This window comes from Homo sapiens, chromosome 9 (genome assembly GCF_000001405.40).
Source record: "Homo sapiens chromosome 9, GRCh38.p14 Primary Assembly".
NCBI lineage: Eukaryota > Metazoa > Chordata > Mammalia > Primates > Hominidae > Homo > Homo sapiens.
In genome coordinates this window covers 64,438,394-64,450,686 of record NC_000009.12, presented here as the reverse complement: position 1 = coordinate 64,450,686, position 12,293 = coordinate 64,438,394, and the positions used below count along the sequence as shown (strand labels likewise).

The 12,293-nt window shown below is 47.0% G+C and overlaps 1 long non-coding RNA gene and 1 pseudogene across 1 annotated transcript in view; both read right to left on the bottom strand.

The window, feature by feature from the left end:
- Positions 1–12,293, bottom strand: part of ANKRD20A4-ANKRD20A20P (ANKRD20A4-ANKRD20A20P readthrough) — a 99,849-nt gene that overhangs the window by 18,556 nt on the left and 69,000 nt on the right. The gene's annotated exons all lie outside the window — the stretch shown is intronic.
- SNX18P9 (sorting nexin 18 pseudogene 9) lies at positions 10,536–11,655 on the bottom strand (annotated as a pseudogene).

Here is a 12,293-nt window from a genome sequence, read left to right as displayed (position 1 = left end):
TGCTCCCTGTGTGGTGGTTCCAACCCTATATGTTCCTTCCATACTGCCCTAGTAAAGGATTCCCATGAGGCTCTGCCTCTTTGAATAGTTTCGACCTGGACACCCAGGTTTTTCTGTAAATCCTCTGTAGTCTACATGAAGGATTCTGAGCCTCTAGTCTTGGCCTTTTTGCACCTGCTGGCTCAACACTATGTGGAAGCCACCAAGGCTTGCAGCTTGCACCCTCTGAAGCAGTAACCCAAGATGTACCTTTGTATCTGTCAGCCATGGTTGGAGCTGGAGCTTCAGGTATGCAGCCAGCAGTGTCCTGAGGATGGACACAGCAGCAGGGCCATGGGACTGGATAAGGAAATCATTCTTTTCTCCCAGGCCTGGGGGCCTGTGACAGCAAGGGTTGCTGCAAAAGTCTCTGAAGTGCCTTCAAGGCCTTTTTATCCTTGTCTTGGCTATTAGCACTCAATTCCATTTTATGCACATTTCTGAAATCTTCTTGAACTTTCCCACGGAAAATCAGCTTTTCTTTTTGACCACTTGGCCAGCCTGCAAATTTTCCAAACTTTTAAGCTCTCCATCTCATTTAAATATAAGTTTCACCTTGAGGTCATTTCTTTGGTCACATATAAGACACCTCAGGGTGTTTGGCACAGACCAGACACCTCTTGAGCTTTGCTGCCTAAAAGTTCATTCCACCAGATACACTCTAAATCATCACTCTCAAGTTCAAAGTTTCACAGATCTCCAGGTTAATGGCATCGTGCAGTAACGTTCTTTGCTAAGGGAAAACAAAAGTGACCTTGGCTCCTCATCCCAGCAAGCTCCTCATTTTCATGTGAGACCTTCTAAGCCTGGCCATCACTGTCCATCATTCTGTCATCTTTTTAATTATAACTATTTAACAAGTCTCTACACTGGTCCAAACTTTTCCACATCTTCCTGTCTTCTTCCAACACCTCCAAACTCTCCAACCTCTGGCCGTTACACACTTCTCAACCTGCTTCTACATTTTCAGCTATGTTTGTTGCAGCCTGGCAATGTGGTAAAAGAAGCAAAGTCTGTTTCAGGAGAAAAATTCAGGCAGGCTTCAGATATTTGCCGGAAAAGAAGCTGAGTGCTCATTGCCAAGAAAATAAGGAAAAGGCCTTGAAGGCATTTCATAGCTCCATTTCACAGCACTAATTTTCTGTATAATCAGAAAGAAAAGAGGTTGAACTGGCTCATGGTTCTGCACGCTTTAAATAAATCATAGAGGCTACTGCATCTGGGAGGACTCAGGAAGCCTCCCAATCATTCCAGAAGACCAAGCACCAATAGTATGTTTTATATGGCAGAAGTAGAAACAAGACAGAAAGAGGAAAAAGGTGCCACACCCTGTTATACAACCAGATTTCCTGAGAACTCTCTAACACAAGGTCAGCATCAAGAATGCTTAACCATTGGTGGAGCCATTGGTGAAAGATCTGCCCCGTACCACCCACAACCCCCACTGTTTCCAAGCAGAAGCCTGAGGCAGAGGCAGAGCCACTAGGAAAACCTCTACTAGGACAGAGCAGAAAAAAAAACAAAAAACAAAAAAAAAGGCTTGGTGGCCCCACACAAGAGGTTACCATCCTCCAGACTCTCTAACCTCTGGCCGTCACCCAATTCAGAACTGGCTTCTACATTGTCAGCTATCTGTGTCACAGCCTGGCAATGTGGTAAAAGAAGAAGGGTCCATTATCAAGGGAAAAATCAAGAAGGCCTCCAATATTTGCATTAAAAAAAACAGTGCTAACAGCCAAGAGATTGCGGGAAAGGCCTAGAAGGCATTTCATATCTTCACCTTGCAGCATTAATTTTCTGTATATACATAAAGAAAAGAGGTTTAATTGACTCACAGTTCTTCGGGCTGTAAAGAAAGCATAGTTGTTTCTGCTTCTAGGAGGACTCAGGAAGCCTCACAACCATACCAGAAGGCCAAGCGGCAATGAAGTGTTTCATATAGCAGGAGCAGAAGCACGACAGCGAGAGGAAAGAGGTGCCATATCCTGTTATGCAACTTGATCTCATGAGAGCTCACTATGAGGAGATCAGCATCACAAAGACGATGCTTAACTATTGGTGAAGGATCTGCCCCCCACCCCATATCCACCCCTCACTGTCTCCATGCAGAAGCCTGAGACAGAGGCAGAGCCTCTTGGAAAACCTCTACTAGGGCAGCGCAGAAGGAAAATATGGGTTTGGAGCCCCTATGCAGGAGGCCACCATCCTCCAGACCCCAGATTCATAGATGCACCAACAGCCCGCACCCTCAGTATGGAAAAGCTACACACACTAAACACCAGCCTAGCCCATGAGAGCAGCCATGGGGGCTAAAGCCACAGGTGCACTGCCCTAGTAGAGGTTTCCCATGAGCCTCTGCCTCTGCAGCAGGCTACTCCCCTCCCACAACATGCCACCCTCACACCACCCTACAGCCAACCTACTCCTCCCCACCTAACCCACCTCTTTGTACTTCCAACCCCACCCCTCTCCCATCCATGAATAAATCACCTCCCACCAGGCCCCACCTGCAACATTCAGGATTACAATTCCACATGAGTTTAGGTAGGGATACACAGCTAAACCATATTATTCTGACCCTGATCCCCTGAATATCATATCCTTCTCACAGAGTAAAATACAATCATGCCTTTTCAAAAGTTGCTGAAAGTCTTAAGTCATTTCAACATTAACTCAAATGTAAAAAGTTCAACGTCTCACCTGAGAAAAGGCTACAGTCCCTTTTGCCTATGAGTCCCTGAATTTAAAAGGGAGTTCTTTTCTTTCAAGGTATGATGATGGTACAGGCATTGGGCAAGTTTTCTCAATCCAAAGGGTAGAGGTTTGCCAGGAAAATAACACAAATGAGATGACAGGGCCAACGCAAGTCCAAACCCAGAAGGCCAGTATCCATTCAATCTCACAGCTCCAAAACCATCACGAGAACTCACCATCGTGAGGAAAACATTAAGGAGACAGTGTTTAACCATTTGTGAGGGATCCTGCCTCCAACCCTACCTTTCACCCCTCACCTCCACCAAAATCCACCCATTCTCCCCAATCCCCACCTTCCAACACCCACTGCCCTCCATGATTAAATCACCTTCAACTTGGCCCCACTTTTAAGATTTCCAATTAAAATTCCAGATAAGTTTCTGTAACACACAGCCAAATCTTATCATTCTGTCCCTGCCTACCCAGATTTCATGTCCTTCTCACTTTGCAAAATGAAATGATACATTACCTGCCATTTCCCCAAGCCACTATGCTTTTTTTACAGCCTGCAGAACTATAAGCCAATTAAACCCCTTTTTGTTATGAACACACAAAAAATTAGTACTGTGAAGTTAAGCTATGAAATGCCTTCAGTGACTTTTCCCCATCGTCTTGGATAAGACCCCCAAGGTCTTAACTCATTCCAGCATTTACTCAAATGTCTGAAGCCCAAAGTCTCAACTGAGACAAAGCTGCAGTCTCTTCTGCCCCTGAGCCTCTGAAATACAAAGCAGGTTAACCACTTCCAAGGTACGATTGTCCAGGCATTTAGTAAGAATCTCCACCCAAAAGGAAGATTTTTGCCAGAGAGAAGAACAAAACACAAACAGGACTTACAAGTCCCACGAAATTCTGAAACTCAGCAGGCCACTTATTCAAACCTACAGCTCCAAAGTCATCCTTTTTAAATCCTTGTCCCACATCCAGGGCACAAGGGCATGAGGGTGGGCTCCCAAGGCCTTGGGCAGCTCTGCACCTGTGGCTTTGCAGTGTTCAGCCCCCGCAGCTGCCCACATGGGCTGTGCTGGTGTTGAGTGCCTGGAGTTTTTAACCCATGGAGGGTAAGAAGCTTTTGATGGGTCTATGAATCTGGGGTCTGCACGATGGTGGCCTCCAGTGTGGGGGCTCCAACCTCATATTTTCCTTCTGCACTGCCCAAGTAGAGGTTTCCCATGAGACTCTGCTTTTTTGGCAGCCTTCTGTCTGGACACCAGGCATTTCCATACATCTTCTGAAATATATATGGAGGCTCCCAAGTCTCTAGACTAGTGCTCCGTGCACCCACTGGCTTAACACTATGTAGAAGCAACCAAGGCCTATAGCTTGCACCTTCTGAGGCAGTGACCCAAGCTGTACCTGTACATCTTTCAGCCAAGGTCGGAGCAGGAGCTGGGGCTGCTGGGATGCAGGCAGCAGTGTCCTGAGGCTACACACAGCAGCAGGGCCATGGGGCTGGCCCAGGAAACCATTCTTCTCTCCTAGGTCCCAAGGCCCGTGACAGCAAGGGCTGTTGCAAACATCTCTGAAATGCCTCCAAGCCTTTTCCCCACAATTGTCTTGGCTATTAGCACTGGCCTCCATTTTATGCAAATTTCTGGAGACTTCATGAATTTTCCCCCTGAAAATCAGCTTTTCTCTTTGACCACCTGGCCAGGCTGCAAATGTTCCAAACTTTTGAGCTCTGCTTATCATTTAAATATAAGTTCCAACTTGAAGTCATTTCCTTGGTCACACATAACAGCACAGACTGTTTGATGCAGACAGGATCCCTCTTGTGTTATGGTGCCTAGAAGTTCATTTCACCAGATATGCACTAAATCATCACCCTCAAGTTCAAAGTTTCACAGATCTCAAGGGCAAGGTCGCCCTGCAGCCACGTTCTTTGCTACAGCAAAACAAAAGTAACCGTGGCTCCTGTTCCCAGTAAGTTCCTCATTTTCATCTGAGACCTTGTAAGCCTGGCCTTCCCTGACCTTCCCTGGCCTTCCTTCTGTCAGCATTTTAATCAAAACTATTTAACAAGTCTCTACAATGGTCCCAACTTTCCCTCATCTTCCTGTCTTTTTTCAAGCTCTCCAAACTCTCCAACTTCTGGTGTTACCGACTTCTGAACCGCTTTACATTTTCAGCTATCTTTGTTGCAGCCTGGCACTCCTGCCTTTCACCTGTAACCCCAAACACAATCCCCCGAAACTCTCCCCACCCTCCCAATACCCTCCAACTGTCCCCTTCCCACACATCCAACTTCCACTCTCCACCAGGGGAAACTTCAAGAAGGCTTCAGATATTTGCATTAAAAAGAAACCCAGTGCTAACAGCCAAGACAATCGGGAAAAGTCATTGAAGATATTTCATAGCTCCACTTTGCAGTACTTATTTTCTGTGTGGTCATAATGAAAAGGGGATTCATTGGCTCATGGGTCTTCAGGCTGTAAAGAAAGCATGGTGGCTTCTACTTCTGGGAAGACTCAGGAAGCCTCCCAATCATACCAGAAGGAAAGCAGCAATGAAATGTTTCATACGGCAGGAGTAGGAGCAAGACTCACAGAGGAAAGAGGTGCCACCGCCTGTTATACAACCAGATCTCATGAGAACTCACTATCACTAAGTCAGCATCAAGAAGATGGTGCTTAACCATTGGTGAAGGATCCACCCCCCAACACACCTCCACCCCCTACTGTTTCCAGACAGAAGCCTGCTGCAGAGGCAGAGCCTCTTGGAAATCCTGTTCTGTGGCAGTGCAGAAGGAAAACAAGGGCTTTGAGTCGCTCTGCAGGAGGCCGCCATCCTCTAGACCCCAGATTCGTAGACCTACCAACAGTTCACACCCTCAGTTTGGAAAAGCGATAGACACTCAATACCAGCCCAGCTCATAAAGGCAGCCATGGGGGCTAAAGCCTGCAAAGCCACAGGTGCACTGCCCTGGTAGAGGTTTTCCATGAGCCTCTGCCTCTGCAGCAGGCTACTCCCCCTTCCTACTACCCACCACCCTCCGACCACCCTACAGCCAGCATACTGTTCCCCACCCTACCCACCCCTTTTTTCTTCCACCCCCACACCTCCCATCCATGATTAAATAATCTCCCACCAGGCCCCACCTCCAACATTTGGGATTAAAATTCCATGTGAGTTTTTCTAGAGGCACACAGCCAAATCATATTATGCTGACCTTGACCCCCCCAAATCCCATGTCCTTCTCACACAGTAAAATACAATCACATCTTTTCAAAAGTTTCCAAAAGCCTTAACTCATTTCCACACTAACTCAAATGTGAAAAGTTAAAAGTCTCATCTGAGATCACGCTACAGTCTCTTCTGCCTATGAGGCCCTGAAGTTAAAAGGGCATTCATTTCTTTCTAGGTACAATGATGGTACAGATATTGGGTAAGTTTTCTCAATCCAAAGGGAAGAAATTTCCAAGAAAAATAACACAAGTGGGACCACAGGCCCAATGCACATCCAAAACCCAGCAGGACACTGTTCATTCAATCTCACAGCTCCAAAATCATGAATAGAACTCACTCTCAGAAGGGCAGCATTAAGGAGATGGTGCTTACCCATTTGTGAAGGATCCACCCCCACTCCTGCCTTTTACCCATAAACCCAAACACAATCCCCCCCAACTCTCCCCACCCCCACAATACCCTCCAACTCTCCCCATCCCTCCCATCCAACCTCCACTCTCCACCATGATTAAATCACCTTCCACCAGCCCCCACCTTTAACATTCCCCATTAAAATTCCACATGAGTTTTGGGAGAGGTACAGAGCCAAATCATATTACTCTGTCCCGGGTCCCCCAAATCTCATGTCTTTCTCACATTGCAAAATACAATGATGCCTTCCCTACAGTCCCCCAAATCTTAACTCATTACAGCATTTACTCAAATATCCAAAGCCCAAAGTCTTATCTGAGACAAGTCTACAGTCCCTTCTGCCATGAGTCTGTGAATTATAAAGCAACTTAACTACTTCCAAGCTACAATGATTGTACAGGCAATGGGTAAGCATTCTCAACCAATAGAAAAAAAAATTGCTGGAAAGCAGCACAAAACACAGATGGGATTCATAGGATACATAAATGTCCAAAACCCAGCAGGCCAGTCACTCAATCCTACAGCTCCAGAATCATCCTTTTTGAATCCCTGTCCCACATCCATGGCACAGGTGTATGAGGGCTGGTCTTCCTAGGCCTTGGGCAGATCTGCACCTGTGGCTTTGCAGTGTTCAGCCCCTGTAGCTGCCGTCATGGACAGGGCTGGTGTTGAGTGCCTGTAGCTTTTCCATACTGAGGGTGCAAGCTGTTTGTGGGTCTATGAATCTGGGGTTTGGAGAATGATGCCTCCCTGTATGGGGGCCTGTGACAGCAAGGGCTGCTGCAGAGGACTGTGAAATGCCTTCGAGGCCTCTTTCCCATTGTCTTGGCTATTTGCACTGGGCTTCTTTTTATGCAGATACTCTAAGCCTCCTTGAATTTTCCCCCGGAAAATCATCTTTTCTTTTTGACCACTTGGCCAGGCTGCAGATTTTCCAAACTTTAGGTCTCCACTTCTCATTTCAATAGAAGTTCCAACTTGAAGTCATTTCTTAGGTCACGCATAAGAACACAGGCTATTCAATGCAGACAGGACACCTCGCTATGCTGCCTAGATGTTCATTCCACCAGATACATCCTAAATCATCACCCCCAAATTCATAGTTTCATAGATGTCCAGGGCAGGGTCACCGTGCAGCCACGTTCTTTGCTAAGGCCAATCAAATGTAACCATGGCTCCTGTTCACAGGAAATTCCTAATCTTCATCTGAGACCTTTTAAGTCTGAACTTCAGTGTTTATCCTTCTGTCAGCCTTCTGATTGCAAGTATTTAACAATTCTCTACAGTGGTCAAATTTTCCTCATCTTGCTGTCTTCCAAGCTTTCCCAATTCTCCTGACCTCTGTCTTTTACCCACTTCTGAACCTGGTTCTACATTGTCAGCTATCTTTATCACAACCTGGCTGTGTGGTAAAAGAAGAAAAGTCCACTTTCAGGGGGAAAATTCATGAAGGCTCCAGATATTTGCATGAAAAGAAGCTGAGTGCTGGTTGCCAAGAAAAGGGGAAAGGGCCTTGAAGGCACTTCATAGCTCCACTTCATAGCACTAATTTTCTGTATGATCATAAAGAAAAGAGGTTTAATTGGCTCATGGTTCAGCAGGCTGTAAAGGAGGCAGAGTGGCTTCTGCTTCTGGGACGTCTCAGGGAGCCTCACAACCATACCAGAAGGCCAAGGGGCAAGGAGATGTTTCATATGGCTGGAATAGAAGCAAGACTGAGAGAGGAAAGAGGTGCCACACCTTGTTATATAACCAGATCTCATAAGAACTCACTGTTACTAGGTCAGCATCAAGAAGATGGTGCTTAACCATTGGTGAAGGATCTGCCTCCCACCCCCATCTCCCACTGTTTCCAGGCAGCAGCCTGCTGCAGACGCAGAGTTCTTGGGAAACCTCTACTAGGGCAGTGCAGAAGGAAAATACGGACTTGGAGCCCCCACACAGGGCTACCACCCTACAGACCCCAGATTTAGAGACCCACCAACAGCTTGCACCCTCAGTGTGGAAAAGCTACAGGCACTGAACACTAGTCCAGTCCATGAGAGCATCCATGGGGGCTCAAACCTGCAAAGCCACAGGTGCACTGCCCTAGTAATGGTTTTACATGAGGCTCTGCCTCTGCAGCACGCTACTCCCCCTTCCTACTACCCACGACCCTCCCACCACCCTACAGCCAGCCTACTCATTCCCACCCTAACCACCCCTTTTTCCATCCACACCCACCCCTGCCCATCCATGATTAAATCACTTCCTCCCTCTCCCTCATCTTTCTGTCATGCTCTAATCCCTCCAAACCCTCCCAATCTTTGTTTGCTACCCACTACTGAGCCTGCTTCTACTTTTTCAGGTATCTCTATAGCAGGTTGGCTATGTAGCAATAACACAAAACCCCATTTAAGGGGAAAAATTCAAGAAGACTTCAGAAATTTGCATATAAAGAAGCCCTGTGCTAATAGCCAAGACAAAGGGAAAAAGGCCTTGAAGACATGCACAGCTCTCTCGGCAGTTCTAATTTTCTCTGTTATTGTAAATGAAAGAGGTTTAATTGAATCATGGTTTTGCAAGCTGTGAAGGAAGCATAGTGTCTTCCATTTCTGGGAGGAATCAAGAAGCCTCCTAATTATACCAAAAGCCAAGACAATGAGATACCTCCTAAGGCAGGAGTAGGAGGAAGACAGAGTGAGGAAAGAGGTTCCACAGCCTTTTAAACAACCAGATCTCATGAGAACTCACTCGCTATCAGGAGGACAGCATCAAGGTGATGGTCCTTTATCATTCGTGGAGAACCTACCCGCACCCTTTTATAACTAAATCTTTTTCCACCTAGGCCCCACCTCTAACATTAGGGAGTATAATTCCACATGGGTTTTGATACGGACACAGAGACAAACCATATTATTCTGTCCCTGATCCCATGAATATCATGTCCTTCTCACATTGCAAAATACAATCATGCCTTGCCAGAATGAGTCTTAACTCATTTCAGCATTAACTCAAACTTACAAAGTCCAAAATCTCATCTGAGTCAAGGCTACGGTCTCTTTTTCCTATGAGTCTCTGAAATAAAAAGCAAGTTCACAGCTTCTAACGTATAATGATGGTACAGGCATTGTGTAAGCTTTCCATATTCAAAAGGAAGACCTTTTCCAGAAAGCTTCTTATTTCTATCTGAGACCTCCTCAGCCTGGCCTTCACTATCCATGTTTGTGCCAGGATTTTTATCACAACCATTTAACCAGTCTCTAAGATAGTCCAAAAATTTTCTCATCTGTCTTCTTTTGAGCCTTCCAAACTCTTCCAACCTCTGCCCATTACCTAGTTCCAAAGCTGCTTCCACATTTTCAGGTATCTTTATAGCAATGCTGCAATCGTCATTTGCCATTTTCTGTTTGATTCATTTTGAAAAAGAGGTTTAATTGGCTCATGGTTCTGCAGGGTGGACAGGAAGCACAGGGCTTCTGATTCTGGGAGGCCTCAGAAATCTTTCAATCTTTGTACAAGGCAAAGAAAGAGTGAGTTGTCTCACATGGCAAGAGGAAAACACGCAGAGTAGGGAGGTGACATAGCTTTCAGTGGCCAGATCTCACGAGAAGTCACTCATGATTGTGAGGATGGTACAAGGGGATGGTGCTGAACCATTCATGAGAAATTTGCCTTCATAAATCAATTGCCTTATACCAGGATCCACCTTCCACATTAGGAAATATAATTAAATAGGAGATTTGGTGGGGACACATATTCGAATTGCATCATCAGACTTTGAGTATAAAGACATGCACAGCAGGCTTTATCCAGCCAACTTATTTGGGACTCTTTATAGGGTTTGTGGTCTACAGCATATACACTAAAATATTCACACTTCAAAGAGCAGTAAAGTGGTATTATCATTCTTCCAAAAGTCCCAATGGTAGTTTAGGCATTCATGGCATGATTTAGTTCATGTTTGCTACTGTTTCTATTCTGTCAACATATTAACTGTTTCCTACACAATTCTGTATTCAGCTGGATTTCAGTTGAGCACAAAACCATCCTTGTGCTACCACGGATAGCTGGCACTAGCTCCTTGCTAGTGTTATTATTCTGTGTAGAAAGTATCCTTGAACTGGAAACAGTCCACAATCAAATATCTAGTCATTCAACATTATCAATTCCTGGATGATTTTTGAAAAAATAGTATCTCTTATTGCAAGAAATGCTGCATCTGTGATTTCATGTCTCTCATTCAAATTGGATGGAAGTGGTGAATTTCCACTGAAGTGGTGAAAGAATTCCTGTTCCTGTGATTCTGATGTCATCAGCCTCTGCATCTCTATCTTCCCTTCTGCCACATGTTGCCTGCCCTCCGCGACTTTGGTAAGAACTTGCTTGTGTATGTGGATGATGTTCAGGATGTTGGTCTGGTGTCCCTGAGACAGCACTAATAGGTCCATGACTGGGTCCAGGTTCTGCCTGGGATGATTGGCAAAGAGCTCACTGACAGTGTTGAAGGCATCTGTGGTGAAGTGGATGGGCTGGTCCAGCTCCAAGGCCTGGCTGAGGCTGAAGAACTGGCAGCCTTCTGATGCTCCTTCTTAAAGCCTGTCACCATCACCTGCTTGCATGTCAACTCATTGGCTGTGAAGTTGAGCCGAGTGCCCTGTTGTTCATCTTCTTGGTGAAGCATTTGAAGCTGTTGATCTCGCTCTCCCACTCCTAAAGTTTGAGTGTCACCCTGGAGGTGGGCTCAGAGCCAGGGAGAATCTGGCACTCACCATCTCATCCTTCTCAGCCTTCCTCTTGCCCTGTCTCCAGGCTGTCTCTTCAGTGCTGGTGTGGCACATCAGGAAGTGATGGAAGATGTGGCACTGTGCCTGCACCCAGAAGCTGGCCGTGTGGTTCATCCACCAGATTGGACCCTTTCTGCACTTGAACATAGAATCCTCCTCAAGAGGGCCTGTGGTCTGCCTCTTGGCACCCAAGAAGCCCACAGTGCTGTAGGAGCCCTGATGCATGGATTGGAGCCCAAAGGCAGCGCAAACCCTGCTCCTGAGGCTGCTGCTCATTTCCTCTATGTGGCTCCATTTGCAGCACAGTTGAACTGAGGCTTGTGCATGCCAGGCAAGGCCAAGTTGGCTCAAAGAGCAACCAGCCACCTCTGCAAGGGTGTGCCAGGAGCAGGTGGACCAGCCACCAACCTCACTTGCTGCCAGTCGGGGTAAATCAGTTATTCTGCCCTGGAGGTAGGGCCCCAGTGCCATCTGCTTTTCCTCAGGCCTCCACTCCATCAGCTGTCAGGTGGTGGTCACTCGGGGTGTGGGAACCTGGCCATCCCTGTTTCCTTGAGTGGGTGAGGTTGGTGGCTGGTCCACCTGCTCCTGGCACACCCTTGCAGAGGTGGCTGGTTGCTCTTTGAGCCAGCTTGGACTTACTTGGCATGCACAGGCCCCGGGTACTGACAAGCTGCTCCGAGTGAGCTTGTCTTGTCTTGGGCCAAATTCTAAGTCTGGCCAGGGCCACAGAAGGCTGAGTCCCCTGGGTGGTAATCCTGGCTGCTGCAGGGAGGCCCATGGTGCTCCTCCCCTCCCAGGGCTCAGGATGAGGTTCAACTGGGACAGGACCCTTTAGGTATGGGACTTGTGCCCCAGGAGGGGGCCTCTGTCACACAGGTTGGGTAAGATGTATGGCATGCTGCTGGCTTCCAGGGCTGTTGGGATGACACATTCACCCTTCCCTCCAGGGACCTCAAAATGACCAGCTTCCCCTTTGAGAATGACTTCCCAAGGCCTAGGAGCCATCTGGGGCTGCAGGGCAGCTGCCTGCATGCTGCCCTGGCTTCTTCCATGTTGTGCTGGTCACTACCCACCAAGGGGGGTCAGATGCAGGCACCATGCAGGGCAGTTGTCTCTGGACCTGTGTCTTTGTTA